This window comes from Homo sapiens, chromosome 2, assembly GCF_000001405.40.
Source record: "Homo sapiens chromosome 2, GRCh38.p14 Primary Assembly".
Taxonomy (NCBI): Eukaryota; Metazoa; Chordata; class Mammalia; order Primates; family Hominidae; genus Homo; species Homo sapiens.
This window is the reverse complement of record NC_000002.12, coordinates 27,196,908-27,217,189: the sequence shown is the minus strand read 5'-3', so window position 1 is coordinate 27,217,189 and position 20,282 is coordinate 27,196,908. Positions and strand designations below refer to the sequence as shown.

Sequence of the window (20,282 nt, the reverse complement as noted above, 5' to 3'; positions counted from 1 at the left end):
GGCGCCTTTCCTTAAAAAGAAAGAGAGGAAAAAAAAAGAAAAAAGTGTTTATTATAGGCAACAACACCAATGGGAACTGGTATTTGTCTACACCAAGGGAGTGCAATTTTTCATCTTCCAATGGCGGCCTCAACCTTGAGGCGAATCCACTGGCGAAAGATGCCTTTCTAGGAAGCAGAGCTCCCTGACTGGGCTAAGATAGTTCAGATTGATCTTAGGTCAATGGTAAGACCTATGTAGTTCATGAAGTCTTGGCTTTTCGGCGCTGGGTCGCCCAAAGCAGAATGGAGACGGATAGAGTGGTGGCTCCCAGAATCCCGAAGAACATAAGCAGTGAGAACGAGCCCTGTGAACAACAGACCAAAAAACACCCCCATACAACGTTACACGGAGGGCCACATCCTAACACCTAGTTCTTTCCTAATATACCTATCACTTTGTCTAGGGCAATTCTATAGTTTTCCACCTATAGGAAATTTGTATCAGCTCCTGGTCTTGTGGCTCTCCTTTCTGAGAAGACTTGCTCTATGCATTCCTTGTATCCCTAGTTAGACGGCCTAATTCCTCACCTGGCGCATACACTTGTATCCATGGAAACCATCAGCACAAACACACTGCAAAAGACCTGGACCATCAGGTACACAAGATCCATTCTCAGGACACATTTCTGGAGGCCAGAGAGAAATAGAGAACATCACTTTATCCATTTCATTAGGCATATTTCTCAATTATCTGTTTCAACTTAGATTCTCTCAATCATTGCTAGGATAAAGGAAGAAGAAAGAAAATTACAGATAAAAACAGTAACAATAATGTCAGGCCTCTGAGCCCAAGCTAAGCTATCATATCCCCTGTGACCTGCACGTATACATCCAGATGGTCTGAAGCAACTGAAGATCCACAAAAGAAATGAAAATAGCCTTAACTGATGACATTCCACCATTGTGATTTGTTTCTGCCCCACCCTAACTGATCAATATACTTTGTAATCTCCCTTACCCTTAAGAAGTTTCCTTGTAATCTCTCCCACGCTTAAGAAGGTTCTTTGTAATTCTCCCCACCCTTGAGAATGTACTTTGTAAGATCCATCCCCTGCCCGCAAAACAGCACTCCTAACTCCACTGCCTACCCCAAAACCTGTAAGAACTAATGATAATCCCACCACCCTTTGCTGACTCTCTTTTTGGACTCAGCCCACCTGCACCCAGGTGAAATAAACAGCCTTGTTGCTCACACAAAGCCTGTTTGGTGGTCTCTTTACACGGACACACGTGAGACAAATAATAGAGTATATCTTAAGATCTTTTCTTTCAAAGGGGTTATAGCCCCAGAACTCTGAATGAAAGGCGCTTAAGCAACTTTGTCTTTCTGATCTAAAGTGGAAAATACAAGGGAGAAAAGACAATTCCCAGAAGTTTGGAGGTAAGACAGCATACCTGGGTCCCCAGTGTTATTGCAAAGGTTCTTTTGCCCTTGACAGATTTGGTTGTCTATATAAGAGGTGATAGTATTCCAGGCATTAATTCCTCCAGGACAGTTGACATGTTGTGGCAGTATCCTATAGAGAAATGTGGTCATAACATGCAAAGTTGCTAAACTCACAGCATCATCCCTCTTTGATTCTCTTCCCATACCCTTACTCACAGAGTCTGGAGCTGAGTAAAGCCACGGAAGGTGTTGGCCAAGTCACCTTTGAGGGGGTTTGCTTGCAGGTCTCTGCAAAGTACACAATGTTAGCACTTTCGCATCAACCTACATTATATTAGCCTTTTGGGTGGGAGGTACCTAACTACTTACATGATGACAGTGGTATGTGCCTGATGAAAGTTTGGACCAGGGTCCTCCAGAGAACAGTTCTGGAGATCCAGCCTGAGGAAATAAAGTAATCAATATAACTGTGTGTTCCTCTTTTTCTTCAGCCACGGCACAGTTTGTATTTGACTACACAACCCCCTTTTCAGCTAATAATTGAACACAGCTGTGTTCAGAGTCACACACTAGGAGCTGTGGTAGACATTTTAATTCTGCATTATCCAATAGAATCGCCACTTGCCACATGTAACTACTTAAATTTAAATTAATGTACCTTAGGCTGGGTGTAGTGACTCACTCCTGTAATCCCAGCACTTTAGGAGGCCAAGCGGGGGAGGATCACTTGAACCTAGGAATTCAAGACCAGCCTGGGCAATATGAATGAGACCCTGACTCTATAGAAGAAAATTAATTTAACCTAAAAATTCAGTGTCTCATTTGCACTAGCCGTATTTCAAGTGCAAATGGAATAACCACGTTAGTAGCTACTGTACTGGTTAGTACAGATACGGAACATTTTCCTTTTTTGAGACAGTCTTACTCTGTTGCCCAAGCTGGAGTGCAGTGGCACGATCTCGGCTCACTGCAACCTCCATCTCCCGGGTTCAAGCAATTCTCCTGCCTCAGCCTCCTGAGTAGCTGAGATTATAGGCACATGCCACCACGCCTGGCTAATTTTTGTATTTTTAGTAGAGACGGGGTTTCACCATGTTGGTCAGGCTGGTCTTGAACTCCTGACCTCGTGATCCGCCCATCTGGGCCTCCCAAAGTGCTGGGATTACAGGCATGAGCCACCGCGCCTGGCTCGGAACATTTTCATAATCACAGAAAGTTCTATCCGCCAGCACTGTTCTAATCGGTTATGCATCTATTGGGAGAAATCTGTGTTTCTTGTCTACATTAGTGAATCTCATATTATGATTTTCAGATCCACAGAGGGCCTTTAAATTAAAAAAAAAAAGTCACATAAATCAAAGTTTTTTTCCACATGTATTTTCTACCACAGATTGGTTGTAAACTGCTGGACATTAAGGATCATGCCACGTTATTTTTTTCTTCAATATCTACTGCTATCCATTCCTTTATTCTACAAATATTTACTGAGTCCCTACAAACTGCAAACACTGGGAGAATGTTAAAAATATGTAACACAGTATTTTGGCCTTTGAGTGGCTTACAATGTAGTTAGAGGAACAAGAGCACTGCCCAAAAATAAAAGCACTGTAAACATTAAATTACAATATAAAAGAAACCACAGGACAGTGTATAAATATATTTGAGTGGACACTAAAGATTACAGGAAGTTTTTAAAAAAGGTATTACTGAATCGCTTGAACCCAGGAGGTGGAGGGCGCGGTGAGCCGAGATCATGCCATTGCATTCCAGCCTGGGCAACAAGAGTGAAACTCCGTCTCAAAAAAATAAATAAATAATAATTTAAAAAAGGTATTACTCTGGAACTTAGTAGTAGTAAATATTCACAAAAGATGTTGGAATTGAAGGATGGATATTTCCTAATTTGGTAGAGGAAGGCAATTTCAGGTATGGAGAGAGGCCTGAACAAAGGTGGAATGCCTTTGAGGGCAGGCAAATCTGGCTGGTGCAGACCATTATGGAGGTTTGAGCGGACAAGTAATTGGAAATAATGTTGGAAAAGTGGGTTGGGACTAGTATGGTACTTAATGGTTTGAATTTTGTCCTGAGACAAAATTTAATACTAAATATAGTATTAAAGCAAGAGAGTGATAATGGAAAATGTTGGTTTTCTAAAAGCTTAATACAGAGAAGTATTTAGGTAGATGAAGGAAAGAAGAGAATGGAAGCAAAACATAACATTTTGAGTTTGAAGTTAGGGTGCACTCAGTAGGAAATGCTTAATAGGAAGCTAGAGGTACCCGTATGTACCTGGAGTGTGGAAAGGTTAAAAAAGACACTAAAGAGATCTAGTTTTGGTAGACATCTGCGTGATGATTACAGCTGAAACCATAATAGGTGGATTCTTTAAATAATATAAGGGTATAAAAGCAGCCAGGCTAAGGAATGGCCTGTATCCAGCATCTAGGGATGTCTTCCCCTCACCCCAAGATGGTGCCCTTCTGATTCAGGCAGCAACGGGCATGCAGCATTAGCTCTCGTGTCGTTTTACAATAAAAGGCCACTTTTGACAAATTTTGCACGCTCCCTGGACATTGGGTGCATATCTGCAGAAGAGAAAGAAACATTAGAACTCCAGAAAGAAAAGCCAAGAAAAGAACAAACGGCGATCAAGAATTAACTGCCAGTACACGTTTCCAGAATTCCTCTAACACGGGGCCGATAAATGGATAAACGGCTCGTGTCCCACCCTTGTAACAGGCTAGGCTAGGAGATGCCATCTCTTCCTCCAGAGTCCTGCGCCGAATCAGCTCCCGACACTTTCAGTACCAGATATCGCACAGGGAAGGTCCTCATCTCTGAAGATCACTATTCGAACTTATTTATTATGCTTTCTGCAGAGACTTCTCAATCTGACAGCCCTAGTTTGGCGCGGTGTAAAACGACCGCAGGTACGTAAAGAACTCATCAAGCATTACAAAAGTACAGCCCTACCACCGCACGATATATGGCGTTCGTGCGTAGAGAGATTACACAAGAGGCAGAGGACCCGTCTGTAGAAAGAACTTAAAGTTATTCTAAAATTAAGGGGCGAAATCAAGTTTCACAGGTCTTTGAAAGTCGGCAGGACTGGGGCGCCGAAGGCCTGCACGACGTGAGTACTTGGGAACAGGACCTGGCTGGGCAGGGTCGGGAAGCGTCAGGGACGAAATCAGAACCGCAGGCCCGCCGAGGAGAAGGGGGAGCCGCTGGCGAGCGCGACGCACGGCTGGCCAGCGACCCTGCTTCAGCCCGACCTCAAACTTGCTTCTGTACCTCGGGTAGCGCCAGAGCCCTTTCCACGCCCAGAGCGAGGAGCAGGGCGGCAGCCCAGGGCACCAGGGTCGTAAGACTACCCGGGTCGTGAGGCGCCATTTTCCGTTCCCTTGGTGCTCCGCTGCTCGCGCGACCCGGCCCCGCGGCCCCGCCCCGCAGCGCGTCAGGCCCTCTTCCCCGGGCGTGGCCTAAGCGGCCCGGTCCAGTCGCCCTGGGGCTGCTTGGGGGCTTTTCCTGCTCGTGGAGCTCTGCGCTGGTCTTCATGCGCCCTAGCCCTCTTTCGGGGATACTGGCCGACCCCCTCTTCCTTTTCCCCTTTAGTGAAGGCCTCCCCCGTCGCCGCGCGGCTTCCCGGAGCCGACTGCAGACTCCCTCAGCCCGGTGTTCCCCGCGTCCGGACGCCGAGGTCGCGGCTTCGCAGAAACTCGGGCCCCTCCATCCGCCCTCAGTAAACATGGCGGCACGGCGAGCGGGGCGGGCAGGGGGCGGGCAGGGGGCGGGGCCCCCGCGGGCTCCCGGCCAGGGCTCTCGGCCGGGCTCTGGCTACCCACGTGTGGAGACCGGGCAGGTGGGCCTGGAGAGCGTGAGCCGGTGCCGAGAGGCACCGGGGAGCGGCGTCTGAGCCGGGGCGGGGACAAGGGGGCGGGGAGGGGCGGAGCGAGCCGGCCTCCGGCGTGGGTCTGAGATCTTAAGTGCGAGCGGTAAGGTGGTGGTCTCCGCCGCGTAGAGGGAAGCGGGAAACCGAGAAAGAACGAGGGTGAGGGTGATGAGGGAAGGGCAAACCTCAAACTCCAGCGGGAGGACACGAGCCTGGATCGCCCCGGGCACCTAGTCCTCTTCACCTCAATGCTGATAGCGCATAGCGTCCCGGAGCCTGGCGAGGAGGTAGGAGCGGGATAGACGCTTCCCTAACTCATTTTCTTTGCCTTCCCAGGAAAAGGGAGCGATGTTGATCTCAGGAAGCACAAAGGGACCTTCCTAGCTCTGACTGAACCACGGAGGTAAGGGAGTGCGTTGCTGCCCCAGGGTGGGCCAGCGCCCTGACTGAAGGGCGCCAGGGGATCCCTGCTCCCGGCGCGACAGTGTTGGTTAGGGCCAGCCAGAAAGCTCCTTAAAGCCGACCCAAGTGATCATCTCGAGTAGCCGAGCCAGGCTTCCCTTCCACATTACCCCCATGGTGTCTGCCTGGAAGTTCCTGAAAGGTTTACGTTTAGCTGGCTGGCAAATTTTCTAAGGTGTTAGTAGCTATTAGCATTTTAAGGAGGGCCCCCAAAGCCTTTCACACCTTGAGGAATTATAGGCCCCAGGACAGATTTTGAGGGAATCTTTTTGGAACAGTTAGTCCTGCAGTGGTCTCATTGCCTTTTGTAGGAGTCAATGCGATCCACTGCAGTGTGTGACCAAAGTGAGTTCAGGTTTTTATTTTTATTTTTATTTTTATTTTGAGACGGAGTCTCGCTCTGTCGCCCAGGCTGGAGTGCAGTGGCGCGATCTCGGCTCACTGCAAGCTCCGCCTCGCGGGTTCACGCCATTCTCCTGCCTCAACCTCCCGAGTAGCTGGGACTACAGGCGCCTGCCACCACGCCTGGCTAATTTTTTGTATTTTTTAGTAGAGACGGGGTTTCACCGTGTTAGCCAGGATGGTCTCGATCTCCTGACCTCGTGATCTGCCCGCCTCGGCCTCCCAAAGTGCTGGGATTACAGGCAGTGATGTGGGACCCCTTTTAAAAACCTGAACTTGGCCTGGCGCGGTGGCCAGGCCACCGATCCGCCAAGGCAGGTGGATCGTCATGTCAGGAGTTTTGAGACCAGCCTGGCCAATATGGTGAAATCTCGTCTCTACTAAAAATACAAAAAAAAAAAAAAAAAATTAGCTGGGCGCGGTAGCACATGCCTGTAGTCCCAGCTACTCAGGAGGCTGAGGCAGAAGAATCACTTGAACCCAGGAGGTGGAGGTTGCAGTGAGCCGAGATCGTGTCACTGCACTCCAGCCTGGGCGACAGAGCGAGACTCCGTCTCCAAAAAAAAAGGGGGGGGGGTCCCACAATCTGCTGTTTGTGCCTTGGCATGTTATAGTTGTAGTGAAACAACAGCTAGCTCTTGCTTTTGGCCGCCCTCTTTCTGGAGAGATGCGAGACCATAGCGTTTGGATCAATGTAGGGTGTTTAGAAAACTACAGATCTGTTCTCAGAATCTGGTCTGTTGCTAGGTCAGGTTTTTCCTGTCTTCCCTGGGGCTCTCTCAGGCCATCCAGGGGAATTCTCCATACATCATGCAAATAGAATTTTATCAGGAAGTCCCATCAGCAGAGTGTCTTTATTTCTGTACCTCCGTGTCCCATACTGGGACTTTCCTTCCTGTCTCTGGCCACCTACCTCTCTAAACCACTAACCCTATAGTTAGTTCTTTGTTCTGTGTTCTTTGCACACAGGAGACCTCTTCTTTCCTCTTACTCCCCAGTAGTTCCCATCATCTCTATCATAGCAGTAAAAACTTGCCAAAGACGAATGAGAAAACTCAGGGTGTTGCAATGTGCAAAGGCCCAGGGCATGTTTAGGTTAAACCAGAGTTTAAGCCTGTTGGGAATCTTGTAGAACATGTGATCCAAGAGTTGCCAGGTCTGATTTTCCCTCTTTATTGGCCCCAAGAGGTTCAGAGTTCAGGTTTAGTCTGCATGAGGCCATATCTTGCCAGCCAGCCAGTGTCTGCCCAAGAACACACTGTGGGAGAGCGGAAAGGCAGCCTAATCTTTCTCCTAGTGGGCAAAAGCAGAAGACATAGTTTATGTTAGTCTGTCTCTTGATTAGTTGAAATCTAAACTATGTCCTGTGAATGACTGACTGCAACACTCTGCTCCTGTCCTGGTTCTGGGAATAGTGAGGACAGGGCCCTTGCTGAACACCTGTCATAGCTGCAGACAGCACTGTTTCTCTCTCTCTTGTTTTGTATCATGCTGCATAACCTTGAGCAAGTTATTTAATCTCTCAGTTTTCTTGTGTTAACTGGAGAGTATTCGTGTCTTAATCTGAGACATGCTGTTTTGAAAATGTTAGCTTCATTATGTATTATTACTAATGTTTATAAAGCACCTCACACACTGCTGGGTTACATAGCAGGTGTTCAGCAAATGTTAACTGTCGTCATGTTAGGCTGTGTAACTACATGGCATTCTCTGGTGTTTTTTCCTCATACCAATAAGTACCCCAGAGGATTGCCTTTGAAGACAATATGATACGCTTGGAGAACAGACAGGGTGGATGGTGAATCCCTAGACCTGGGTTCTAATTTATGCTCTGACAATAGTCGGCTCTGTGCTTTTGGAAAGGTCACTTGAACCATCTGAGCCTTAGCGTGTTTATCTGTGAAATCGTCAGTGGTGGGGGGTTGGTTGTAATAGTGGTGTCCAAAGATTTAAGATTTTAAATATTATGATCCCTTCCCTCTTTCTCTGAGGATTGTGGTGTATTCTTGGGGGATTAACATTTCTTGTGCAGGAGTTAGAAAATCAACTTTCAACTTTCCCATGTTTTCAGTTCCTTCTTTCCAACTCCCTCCCGCACAGAGTGCCAAGAGTACTTTAGGCTGAAAGGCTAATCCATCTAGGAATGCTGTTGAATATGAGCTCCCTCTTCCCTGTTCTGGAGCCTCTAGGGCTGAGTTGGAGTTTGGGGGCCATAGGGTGATAGGGCCATTTGGAACACAGCCATTGGTTCCCTGAAGGGGCCAGAACAAATGACTGCTGAGCTTCACCCCACCCCCAATTCCTGATCTCTCACCTCAGCTACTCATAGAGCCAGATCCTCAGCTCTGCAGCTCCAGGCAACTCTGCCTCAGAACAGGGATTGCTTCTCCAGGTAGGTGTCTGTCCCCAGCAGGATACGACCACTCTCTTTGGCTGGTCCCTTTGCCTCTCAGCTCCGTGACTGGGTTGCTTCTCTCCAGAATGGAGAATCGTCATTCTGAAACCCTGACTCCAGCATGGTGCCCTCTCACCTTTCCCCTCTCACTTTTGAATCCAGCCGCTCTTCCTGCGTCTGCTGTTGACTGTGATGTTGCAGGTAGAGGGGCTGAGAGGTGGGTGGCAGCACTTATCTAGTGGTGTTGGGGAGAACCTTAAGAAAGGGGTTGGCCTGGGGACGCCTGAAATGGAGTCTGTGGCTGCCACAGAGGCAGTCTCACTGATGATCAGTTAGAAGGGTGACACTGGGGATCACAGGAGGCGAGGGCCGAGGCCAGGGGCAGTAGGGGAAGCCCTGCTGCCATTAGTCTCCATGCTGTGTTTCCTGCTGGGCTGTGGCGCCAGGCTGGGCTCTGCTGGCTTAGTGTATTGTAGTGACTGGGTCTGTGCCTTCAAGTGGGGCTGGGAAATTCTGCTAAGAAACTTAGGCTAGAGTTTATTTTTCTTTTGGTACTCGGGTGGAGACCTAAGAAGGTTGTTGAATTTCACAGCTGTGCATACTCAAAGGTCCTGGCCAAGTTATATTGTCTCCTGGCTGTCGCACTCTGATGCTTCTCCCTCACTTATGTCCCCTACCAAACCCATACCAGGGCCTCTAGACCTTGAAGGGCTACCACTATGCTGGCTGGTCCACTTCTGATGGCATGCGATGTACAAGGCCCAAGGGTGAATGGCTACCAAGGCCAGATAGGCCTCACTAAGAGCTAATTCCTTTGCAGCTCACCCTGGACAGTATCACTCCGTGGAGGAAGACTGTGAGACTGTGGCTGGAAGCCAGATTGTAGCCACACATCCGCCCCTGCCCTACCCCAGAGCCCTGGAGCAGCAACTGGCTGCAGATCACAGACACAGTGAGGATATGAGTGTAGGGGTGAGCACCTCAGCCCCTCTTTCCCCAACCTCGGGCACAAGCGTGGGCATGTCTACCTTCTCCATCATGGACTATGTGGTGTTCGTCCTGCTGCTGGTTCTCTCTCTTGCCATTGGGCTCTACCATGCTTGTCGTGGCTGGGGCCGGCATACTGTTGGTGAGCTGCTGATGGCGGACCGCAAAATGGGCTGCCTTCCGGTGGCACTGTCCCTGCTGGCCACCTTCCAGTCAGCCGTGGCCATCCTGGGTGTGCCGTCAGAGATCTACCGATTTGGGACCCAATATTGGTTCCTGGGCTGCTGCTACTTTCTGGGGCTGCTGATACCTGCACACATCTTCATCCCCGTTTTCTACCGCCTGCATCTCACCAGTGCCTATGAGGTGAGCAGGGACAGAAGGGAGAAGTGCGTGGGACACGGGTTGGGGTGGAGAGGAGGGACAGGCACATAGGAAGGACCTGGGACCCTAGACCTCCTCCACCTAATGAGAGGGACAGAAAACTCATTGTGTGTTTATAATTCTTTCTCAGTGATGTTAGGTATAGGGGCAGGATTGGAGAGGAGGGTGCTATGCCGAGTAGGACTCAGAGTGGGTATGGGTTGGATATTCCCTCATGTTCCTGAGCATCTTGAGGGAATTTGTCTGTGAGTTGTCGGGGTGAAGTCAGGAGAAAAATCTTTTTTTCTGTATACCCAGTACCTGGAGCTTCGATTCAATAAAACTGTGCGAGTGTGTGGAACTGTGACCTTCATCTTTCAGATGGTAAGCAGAATGAGGATAGAAACCGAGCCTAGGGCATGTTGGGGGACCTGAACGCAAGCATGCTGAGGGAATTGGAGTCTCCCCTGCTCTCAGATTGGCAGGATTGAAATTCCTGCTAGAGGTTAGCATCTGTGAGGACCCCAGAGGCATCCTGCTGCCCATGCCTTCCAATTCCAGCACAGATACTGTGGTGGCAGCAAGCCAGAATTTGAGAGGAGAAGGAAGAGGGAAGTGAGCCTAGGTGAGGGGAAGCCATGGGCATATTGGCGCTGAGGCCCATCTTTCTTCCTCTCTCTTCCCACCATTCTCCGGCCCCCATCACATTTTTTCCACATGCAACAGGTGATCTACATGGGAGTTGTGCTCTATGCTCCGTCATTGGCTCTCAATGCAGGTGAGGAGTCACACAGCCCCTGGCTTTCAGCCGTGGTAGGTTAGGAAAGCACCTTTGGGAGAGGCAGATGGAGGAGCGTATGTGGAAAAGAACCTGACCTTGAATGGGGAATTAATTCACCGCTTGGGCCCTTGGGTGGGTCTCTACCAGAGGAAGGCTTGGTCCACCTCAATTGACAGCTAGTAACATGTTACCATGCCCTATCTGAACTGGTTAGTCAATATCTTTTGGTGGAGCTCTGCAAACATTTTTCTCCGTTGTGGTGAATGATTTATTTCATTGTTAATGACCAATGCTTTATCTCTGTGGCATGACGTGATTGCCCTACCAGGGCTTCTCCCCTGGGGAACCCTTTTCCAGGGATAAGAATGTGGCTTCTATGCTTACAGTGACTGGCTTTGATCTGTGGCTGTCCGTGCTGGCCCTGGGCATTGTCTGTACCGTCTATACAGCTCTGGTAAGTGCAGTAAGCCGTGGTGTGGGGAGGGGAAGGGATGAAGTAAGGAGGGGACATGGGAAGAGAAGGAAAAGAAGAGATAAGCTGAGAATATAGATGAGGAGAATAGGTGAAATTCTGGGGTGGTAAGATTTATGATAGGATTTAGCAGTGGGGATGGTATATGAAGGTAGAGGATGGGATGGGAATGATGTCAACAGGGTCACAGCAATTACATGCCTAATGGCAGGAGAGTCCCCTCACTGGTAGTATGTTCTTAGGGTGGATGGTTTCAGGAGTGTCCAAGGGAGAGAATATAGTCATGGGTTCTTAGTTTCTGTTTCTGGTTGGGTCAGTAAAGCCCCTTCGTCATCCCTCTTTTATACATATCACCAGAGACAGAAACTAAAAACTGGCTTCAGGCTGCAAAAAGCCTAAAACAAAACAAAACAAAACAAAATGGAGCAACAACAAAATAAGGCAGGTTGGACAAGCTGGGTTTAGAAGGCCTCTGTGGCAGGTTTGCTGTGCTTTCCTTGCAGGGTGGGCTGAAGGCCGTCATCTGGACAGATGTGTTCCAGACACTGGTCATGTTCCTCGGGCAGCTGGCAGTTATCATTGTGGGGTCAGCCAAGGTGGGCGGCTTGGGGCGTGTGTGGGCCGTGGCTTCCCAGCACGGCCGCATCTCTGGGTTTGAGTAAGTATACCCCTACTCCTGGCTGGGGTCTGCAGTGCCTGGGCGCTGAGCCCATCCTAGAGGCTGGTCTTGGCTATAGTAAGCAGAAGGTAAACTGGGAAGCCTGAGGTGTAACAGCAGACAGTGGGAAACTGGTCCTGCAGAGATGGAGGGTGATTACAGGTGCCCGGCTAGTGTTTATAGAGAGTCAGGACATTACCTGGGATGAGTACCTGGAATGAGCCTGGGGTGGAAGAATGGAGCCTCCCTCTAACTGGCTGTGCTGTCTCTCGAGTGCACCCAGCTTCTTGCTTTCAGTGTCCCCCTTGGCCCTAGCAGTGGTGTCTCTCCTTTCCTGTCCACTGACTCCTGTTGCCAAGAGGGCAGGAAGGCTGTGTCTCTCAGGCTTTGCACAATGACTGGGTGGTGTCTGTTACAGGCTGGATCCAGACCCCTTTGTGCGGCACACCTTCTGGACCTTGGCCTTCGGGGGTGTCTTCATGATGCTCTCCTTATACGGGGTGAACCAGGCTCAGGTGCAGCGGTACCTCAGTTCCCGCACGGAGAAGGCTGCTGTGCTGTGAGTGCAGGGACAGGAAGGGAGTGGAGCAAGGTCTAGGGGAAGGGGTTCCCCAGAGATAATTGGGGTGGGGCAGGATGCCAGAGTGCATACACATCCACTGTGGTCAGGATGTGGGTCTCCTTTCTGGAGGTCAGGGGCACACACCTGAGGGTGTCTGTTAACGCCGGCTCTCCTCCTGGCACTGACCTCTTTTGCAGCTCCTGTTATGCAGTGTTCCCCTTCCAGCAGGTGTCCCTCTGCGTGGGCTGCCTCATTGGCCTGGTCATGTTCGCGTATTACCAGGAGTATCCCATGAGCATTCAGCAGGCTCAGGCAGCCCCAGACCAGGTGAGAAGGCGCTGTTCTGTTCCCATGAGGGCAGGCCTGGCCCCACAACAGGAGTGTCTAGGTAGGAAAGGACTGACTGCAGAAAGGACTCCCACCCTGGGTGGGAGACGGTTGTAAAATCCTTTCCCACTCTGAGATGCTAGGAATCTAGCATGTGAGGATCGCGGTCCCTAGCATCACCTAACCACAGTGCTCATCCTACTGGGGTGAGGACCTACCCTTACTGACTCCCCATTGGGCTCCATGTGCTCTGCTGGGAGCTATCACATACCTGGTCTCACCTAAGCCTCTAACAGCCTCATTTCACAGAGGAGAAAACAGACTCAATGAGGTAGCCAGTAAGCAGAAGTCACACTAGTAGCCAGAAACAGAGCTGCGGGCGAATTGTGTCATTCCCTCTGTAGAGCTCATTTTCTCTCCACTTAATGTGTAGACACTTGGGTCAGCAGAGGTGCCCCAGGCCCTGGCTTCCCTTGTAATGCACCCAGTCTCGGTAGACTCGCTGGGGCACATGTAAAGGGAGCTTCCCTGCAGAGCCGGCCCTGGGAAGACCCCTCTCTGAGGACTGCTGTGTACCTCCGCTCTGCTTGCAGTTCGTCCTGTACTTTGTGATGGATCTCCTGAAGGGCCTGCCAGGCCTGCCAGGGCTCTTCATTGCCTGCCTCTTCAGCGGCTCTCTCAGGTACCCACTTTAACGATTTCCCTCAGGCCTGGTGCACCTGACCCCTATTTGGTACAAGGTGATGGGTGGAGCGGGGTGATAGTGGGTGGGGAATCCCTCTAAGTTTCTCACTGTGCCTGCCCCATCTGTGTGCATGACAAGGGATAGCTCATCTTTGTAGGCCACAGCACAACAGAGATACCCCTGTTTTGGTTAAGAGTTCTTTTATGGTACCAGAAATTGATCTACTCGAATGAAACCCATATCCACATTCAAAAAAGGACTGTGTCCTTGCCTTCCAGGCCCGCTCTGAGGTGGCATCAAGTCCAACTATGAGGAGGTTTCTTGGTGGTACCTGTCATCTCCCCGCTTTAGGACACCATTTCCTCCATAGAGTCCCATAGAGCTGACAATTTTGCCTCGCTCAACTCCTCATCCTCTTCCTCTTTTTCAGCACTATATCCTCTGCTTTTAATTCATTGGCAACTGTTACGATGGAAGACCTGATTCGACCTTGGTTCCCTGAGTTCTCTGAAGCCCGGGCCATCATGCTTTCCAGAGGCCTTGGTGGGGTTATGCTTCCTCATCTCTTCAGTCTGGGTCTTTCTAAGCTTCATCCTGACCATTGTCATCAGTTTGCTGTAAAACACCCACTTTATCCGGGGCTCAGCACTTGCCTAATGAAGCACACAACCTTCCCTGCATGCATGGTTGTTTCCATCTCAGGGCATGTCCTAGGGAGGTCTCTGAGTCACATAGGAGTGAGGACTTGGTGGGAGGAAGCTGGGGCGTGATGTAATATGCCTTTTGTTTCCAGAGAGACAGAGGTGGTAGTTTGGCTGGGCAGGGAGCCTTGCTTTACCCCATTGCTTGTGTTAACTCACACCTTCTTGTTTCCTCTCCTGTCCTTTTCCCCCAGCCTTTGGCTATGGGCTGCTTTGTCTAGGAATGGCCTATATTTCCTCCCAGATGGGACCTGTGCTGCAGGTAATAACTATAGAGGGTAGGAAGCAATTTTAAGGGAGAGAAGGAATTGATTGAAACAGGAAGTTGAGAAGGGCAGCTATATTGAGGGGAATGACCGGGGGGCAGGCGTAAGAGATTCCCCTTTGATGGACCGTCTTTACTGTGAACAGACTTGCAAGCAGCCAGAGGACGCAGGGTCATTCCTGGGATGTTGTAGGCTGAGAGAGAGCTAAGGATCAGCCTCAGAGAACTCAAAACACATCCCTCTCCATCAGCCCCCTAGCAGCCTTTCCTGCCCTCTGGAGTTCTTTTTTTTTTTTTTTTTTTTTTGAGACAGAGTCTCATTCTGTTGCTCAGGCTGGAGTGCAGTGGCGCGATCTCAGTTGACTGCAACCTCCACCTCCCACATTCAAGTGATTCTCCTGTCTCAGCCTCCTAAGTAGCTGAGGGACTACAGGCATGTGCCACCGTGTCTGGCTAATTTTTGTATTTGTAGTAGAGACGGGGTTTTACCATGTTGGCCAGGCTAGTCTGGAGCTCCTGACCTCAGGTGATCCTCCCGCCTCGGCCTCCCAAACTGCTGGAATTACAGGCATGAGCCACCGCTCGGCCACCTCTGGAGTTCTGATTGTTCCCACAGAAGAGACAGATCTGACAAGTGGGGCTCCAAGGTCATGGCTGGTGGCTATGCTTTATGGTGAGTCTGGGCATCTCTGAGTCTGTGTTCTTTTTCCTTTTCTTCTCACCCTGTCCTCCTAGGCAGCAATCAGCATCTTTGGCATGGTTGGGGGACCGCTGCTGGGACTCTTCTGCCTTGGAATGTTCTTTCCATGTGCTAACCCTCCTGTGAGTGATGCATCTGGATCCACAGTCATGTGTAGCAGGATGGACCTGGGGGTTGGCAGGGCTGTCACCAGGAGAGCTGAGGACTGCCGTGAGGGCTGGCAGGACTGGCCTTGTGACAGGCCTGCACTGTGTCTCGGCAGGGTGCTGTTGTGGGCCTGTTGGCTGGGCTCGTCATGGCCTTCTGGATTGGCATCGGGAGCATCGTGACCAGCATGGGCTCCAGCATGCCACCCTCTCCCTCTAATGGGTCCAGCTTCTCCCTGCCCACCAATCTAACCGTTGCCACTGTGACCACACTGATGCCCTTGACTACCTTCTCCAAGTAAGGCAGGGCTTGCTATCTTCTTGTTTTCTCAAAGCCCTCCTTTGAGGGCTTTCACAGGGGTCTTGCTAAGGGATGGGCCACCAGAGGCCCCAGGGAAATGTTGGGTATTGGGTCCCAAGACCCTGGGACCATGCGGGCAAGTAGAGATTGGTGCCCAAGGAATGCCCTGCCAACGAATTGCTAATTGTTCTCACCTCTGCTCTTCCCAGGCCCACAGGGCTGCAGCGGTTCTATTCCTTGTCTTACTTATGGTACAGTGCTCACAACTCCACCACAGTGATTGTGGTGGGCCTGATTGTCAGTCTACTCACTGGTAAGGGTGTGGGATTGCGGTGCAGATGAGCACCGAGGGGTTAACAGAGGGCCCTAAGGGACTCTAGGGAGAAAGGCTCCTGCCCTCTGAGCTCTTGGGTGTCCGTAGCTGTCAGGCTTTTCTGCTGGGATGTAGGAGGTGGGTGGGGGCTGGGGTCTCTGGGGGCCAAGGGAGGACATGGGGCCCGCTGCTGTGGATGGTTCCACCCAGAGACTCAGAAGCACATTTCCATTCAGGGAGAATGCGAGGCCGGTCCCTGAACCCTGCAACCATTTACCCAGTGTTGCCAAAGCTCCTGTCCCTCCTTCCGTTGTCCTGTCAGAAGCGGCTCCACTGCAGGAGCTACGGCCAGGTAGTACCTGCTGTCCAAGTGACCCCTCCCTGCCCTTCTCCACAGATGCCACTGACTCTTCAGGTTCCCTTCTACCCCTTTTCTCTCCCCCTGCCCCGGGTGCCTCTCTCAGGATCAGCTAAGCCTAGGCTGTCCCACACGGCTGTCTCAGGTTCTACCCACAGGACTGCACTGGCTTGGTGGGCAGAAGGATCTCAGGGCTCAGAGGAGCTCAGCCCCAGCCTGGGCCAGTCAGCTCCCCTCCCCAGCCCACCCTGTGCTCCCTGCTGTGCTATGCCCTCCCTCTTTTCCCCCTGCTCTCCCTCCCGAACCCAGCCTTGCTGGGCTCCCTTCTGGCGGGGACCTTTTTTGTGTGAATCCTGTCAAGCACCCGTCATCCGTCTTCACCAGTTCCACCCCTTTGGCTCTGTGTTTGCAGGACCACCTCGACACTGGCCTGTTTCCTGAGAAGCCGAGGAATGGTGTGCTGGGGGACAGCAGAGACAAGGAGGCCATGGCCCTGGATGGCACAGCCTATCAGGGGAGCAGCTCCACCTGCATCCTCCAGGAGACCTCCCTGTGATGTTGACTCAGGACCCCGCCTCTGTCCTCACTGTGCCAGGCCATAGCCAGAGGCCACCCTGTAGTACAGGGATGAGTCTTGGTGTGTTCTGCAGGGACAGGCCTGGATGATCTAGCTCATACCAAAGGACCTTGTTCTGAGAGGTTCTTGCCTGCAGGAGAAGCTGTCACATCTCAAGCATGTGAGGCACCGTTTTTCTCGTCGCTTGCCAATCTGTTTTTTAAAGGATCAGGCTCGTAGGGAGCAGGATCATGCCAGAAATAGGGATGGAAGTGCATCCTCTGGGAAAAAGATAATGGCTTCTGATTCAACATAGCCATAGTCCTTTGAAGTAAGTGGCTAGAAACAGCACTCTGGTTATAATTGCCCCAGGGCCTGATTCAGGACTGACTCTCCACCATAAAACTGGAAGCTGCTTCCCCTGTAGTCCCCATTTCAGTACCAGTTCTGCCAGCCACAGTGAGCCCCTATTATTACTTTCAGATTGTCTGTGACACTCAAGCCCCTCTCATTTTTATCTGTCTACCTCCATTCTGAAGAGGGAGGTTTTGGTGTCCCTGGTCCTCTGGGAATAGAAGATCCATTTGTCTTTGTGTAGAGCAAGCACGTTTTCCACCTCACTGTCTCCATCCTCCACCTCTGAGATGGACACTTAAGAGACGGGGCAAATGTGGATCCAAGAAACCAGGGCCATGACCGGGTCCACTGTGGAGCAGCCATCTATCTACCTGACTCCTGAGCCAGGCTGCCGTGGTGTCATTTCTGTCATCCGTGCTCTGTTTCCTTTTGGAGTTTCTTCTCCACATTATCTTTGTTCCTGGGGAATAAAAACTACCATTGGACCTAGAATTTGGGCTCCTGTACTGTCTTCACCTGCTCTTGTCCACCCTACTGCATCCTCTGGTGAGGATAAGGAGTCCTATCCTATGTACAGGTCACCTTCCTGTGCTGAGGAGGGGGGCTGTGGCTTCAAGTCCCTGCTGTCCCTGTGTCTGCAGGGGACAGTGTTGTGCTCACCATGGTAGAAGATGCACACCCTCTCCTAGGGCTTCTCATCCCCTGGGGCTTACTTAGTCTGTCCCTTCTCCGGCCCCACTTTCCCTTTGCCAGAACCTTTTGCTCTCAGATTTTTACTTTTGGAACTGGAGGAAGAATGTTCCCATCTGATTTTAGAAACGGAACATTCTAGCTGGACTTTTATGGTCTTGTGAAGAACACTGTGCTCACACCCTCCCACACCTGGCCTCTGCCCCTGCCTGGCCCTGTTCAGCTGCCCACATCAGCTCTGCACCAGCTCTCCGGGGTCTCTTAACAGAGACCGGGTCCCAGGCATATCTGAATTCAGCCTCAACTGAGGCCTTCTCCCAGGGCTTCTAGAGCACATTCCAGCTGTTCTCTCATACTCCATGTAGCTTAGGCCTGGGATGTTCTGTGTCCCTTTTTCTACCTCTACCCCAGCTCACTCGGTCACACCCCAGCCCCTTTCACCTCTGCCCTGGCCAGCCCTGTGGAGGAACAGGGCCTGGTTGTGCCAGAGCCAAGACACTAGCTACTCCCAACCTGCCTAGGCCTCATTTATATTCATGACGACAATATTGTCTCCTAATGGGTCTTAAACCTGTTGCCCTGGATTTTTTTTTCCATTCCACAAGGCTCTGGTCTTGAACATAAACATTCCTTCCAGTATGGACTTCAGGTGTCTGGTCATGATCTATTCTCAGTCTGGGAAGGTACTTTGACAGGCCAAAGGTGTGTCCACTGAATCTACCATATTTCAGACATGCCTGAGTGGTACTCCAGGGAGAACTGGGGAGAATGATCCCCAGGGTTTAATTTGCTGAATTAGGTAGGGTGGAAGTGAGTCTATGTAAGAGGACATGGAAACATTTTACGAGGGGCCCTTGGACTCAGGCCTATTTTGTTTTGTCCTGTGAATTAAAACTTCAATGATGGGAAGATAAGAAGCCTATAATTATTATTTAGAAAAGATTCCTTTGGGAGACCGAGGCAAGACGGTTGCTTGAGGCCAGGAGTTCCAGACCAGACTGGGCAACATAACCAGATCCTGTCTCTACAAACACAAACTAGCCAGCATGGTGGCATGAGCCTGTAGTTCCAGCCACTTGGGAGGCTGAGGTGGGAGGATTGCTTGAGCCCAGGAGGCTGAGGTTGCAGTGAGCCAAGATTGTACCACTGCACTCCAGCCTGGGCAACAGAGCAAGACCTTGTCTCTAAAAGAAAACAGAACACAACAAAATCCCTTTTCCTTCATAGATTGTTTTTGGGGAATGTAATCGAATCTATCATGCCAGACTCCCAAATTCAAGCCTTATTTGTTTCCTGGTTCAGGTGTCCTGGTAGAGCTGCTTCTAGGACAAGGTCTTACCAATGGAGGCAATAGAAACTGAGAATGTCTGTAAAAACTAGAAGTGGACGATTTATATCTCAAGCCCTACAAGAAGGAGAGACTGGTGATTGTCACCAAGAACTGTTGAGGGAATGGGATCATCTCTGGATTCTTAGGGCCTGATCTCTGAACCCATTTTCTGGCCAAGCCAGTGTCTGTAGGAGAGTTGAGAGCAGGATGCCCCTCACTGCTGCCCTTGGTCCAGGGCTTTACATAAAAAATACCACATTGGTCATATCTGCAAACATTGGGATTGTAAAGTAAGTAATGCCCAGAACTGCACTCTGTAAGTCCTCCAAGAACTGTGCATCCTTCCATTAGAAGTGAGGACAGTCCCCGAACATGCCAGGTTGACTCTGCCCCGAGGTCTGCCCTCTTCTCCTTAGTCCCTCCTCCTGGGACCCAAGGGCACTGTTCCTTGGTTAACTACCTTACCCTACCAATCTGACAAAATTGTAGACCTAAGTGGGACCTCATTTGTTCGGTATATTTATCAATCACCTACTACATTCAAGGGCCTCACTTTTTTTTTTTTTTTTTTTTTTTTTTTGAGACAGAGTCTTGCTGGAGTGCAGTGGCGCAATCTCAGCTCACTGTAACCTCCGCCTCCTGAGTTCAAGCAATTCTCTGCCTCAGCCTCCTGAGTAGCTGGGATTACAGGCACCCGCCACCATGCCCAGCTAATTTTTTGTATTTTTAGTAGAGACGGGGTTTCACCATCTTGGCCAGGCTGGTCTTGAACTCCTGACCTCGTGGTCCACCTGCCTTGGCCTCCCAAAGTGCTGGGATTACAGGTGTGAGCCACTGCACCTGGCCAGGCCTCACCTTTTATACAGCTAAAGAAACTGCTATGCCACCCCAGGACTCTACCAGGTGTCAATCTGAAATTCTTGCATTTTAACTATATTTGCATAGAAGAGGAAATAAGAATGCCACAGGATTAAAAACTTTCAAGAGTTATGATATTTAAGGGCAAGTGGCAAAAAGATCCAATTCGTACAACTTTCAAACCTTATAACAGAGGGCAAAGATGCTCTTTCATTTCTAACATAGTAAACCTTTTTCTTCATGCAGCATTTAAAAAGTACTGTTTGATGGTTATGAGGGTGTAGTCTAAGGCT

At 50.4% G+C, this 20,282-nt stretch overlaps 2 protein-coding genes across 23 annotated transcripts, besides 6 other annotated features; one reads left to right on the top strand and one right to left on the bottom strand.

Moving 5' to 3' along the window:
• On the bottom strand, positions 7 to 5,149 carry ATRAID (all-trans retinoic acid induced differentiation factor). Of its 2 annotated transcripts, none has more exons than NM_016085.5 (7): positions 4,583 to 4,830; positions 3,892 to 4,013; positions 1,798 to 1,869; positions 1,645 to 1,716; positions 1,437 to 1,558; positions 570 to 667; positions 7 to 346 (listed from the first exon to the last, which is right to left on the bottom strand). In NM_016085.5, the coding sequence occupies exons 2-7, from the start codon at positions 3,936 to 3,938 to the stop codon at positions 242 to 244; spliced, it is 516 nt and encodes a 171-aa protein (NP_057169.2). In that variant the 5' UTR covers positions 3,939 to 4,013; positions 4,583 to 4,830; the 3' UTR covers positions 7 to 241. The 2 variants fall into 2 exon arrangements, with proteins under 2 accessions (NP_057169.2, NP_001164266.1); NM_001170795.4 differs by having other exon boundaries at positions 33 to 346; positions 4,723 to 5,149.
• On the top strand, positions 4,403 to 17,603 carry SLC5A6 (solute carrier family 5 member 6). 21 transcript variants are annotated; one of them, XR_007084322.1, is made up of 18 exons: positions 4,403 to 4,561; positions 5,657 to 5,723; positions 9,400 to 9,932; positions 10,248 to 10,313; positions 10,656 to 10,707; positions 11,097 to 11,164; positions 11,686 to 11,840; positions 12,259 to 12,399; positions 12,600 to 12,729; positions 13,323 to 13,411; positions 13,845 to 13,957; positions 14,310 to 14,377; positions 15,116 to 15,202; positions 15,343 to 15,524; positions 15,737 to 15,840; positions 16,077 to 16,192; positions 16,611 to 17,085; positions 17,353 to 17,603. XR_007084322.1 is itself a non-coding variant. In XM_047446243.1 (17 exons), exons 3-17 carry the CDS (start codon positions 9,540 to 9,542, stop codon positions 16,752 to 16,754), a joined length of 1,908 nt encoding a protein of 635 aa, XP_047302199.1. In that variant the 5' UTR covers positions 4,403 to 4,561; positions 5,657 to 5,723; positions 9,400 to 9,539; the 3' UTR covers positions 16,755 to 17,603. The 21 variants fall into 21 exon arrangements, 13 of the variants coding, with proteins under 13 accessions (XP_047302199.1, NP_066918.2, XP_006712192.1 ...); XR_002959356.2 differs by lacking the exon at positions 4,403 to 4,561 and adding an exon at positions 4,922 to 5,170; XR_001739022.2 differs by lacking the exon at positions 4,403 to 4,561 and adding an exon at positions 5,244 to 5,290.
• Positions 4,726 to 4,975: a silencer, noted in NCBI's record as "silent region_11290". NCBI's record gives its function as "represses an Ori minimal core promoter by ATAC-STARR-seq in GM12878 lymphoblastoid cells {active_cell/tissue: GM12878}" and the evidence as "EXISTENCE:reporter gene assay evidence [ECO:0000049][PMID:35858748]".
• Positions 5,166 to 5,485: a silencer, noted in NCBI's record as "silent region_11289". NCBI's record gives its function as "represses an Ori minimal core promoter by ATAC-STARR-seq in GM12878 lymphoblastoid cells {active_cell/tissue: GM12878}" and the evidence as "EXISTENCE:reporter gene assay evidence [ECO:0000049][PMID:35858748]".
• Positions 6,268 to 7,065: an enhancer, noted in NCBI's record as "H3K4me1 hESC enhancer chr2:27432993-27433790 (GRCh37/hg19 assembly coordinates)". NCBI's record gives its function as "activates a minimal SCP1, AML or CMV promoter by ChIP-STARR-seq in naive H9 embryonic stem cells {active_cell/tissue: H9 hESC(naive)}" and the evidence as "EXISTENCE:reporter gene assay evidence [ECO:0000049][PMID:30033119]".
• Positions 6,268 to 7,079: a biological region, named in NCBI's record as "H3K4me1 hESC enhancer GRCh37_chr2:27432993-27433790".
• Positions 7,020 to 7,079: an enhancer, noted in NCBI's record as "active region_15494". NCBI's record gives its function as "activates an Ori minimal core promoter by ATAC-STARR-seq in GM12878 lymphoblastoid cells {active_cell/tissue: GM12878}" and the evidence as "EXISTENCE:reporter gene assay evidence [ECO:0000049][PMID:35858748]".
• Positions 19,123 to 19,323: a silencer, noted in NCBI's record as "peak3631 fragment used in MPRA reporter construct". NCBI's record gives its function as "represses an SCP1 promoter by STARR-seq MPRAs in K562 erythroleukemia cells {active_cell/tissue: K562}" and the evidence as "EXISTENCE:reporter gene assay evidence [ECO:0000049][PMID:32103011]".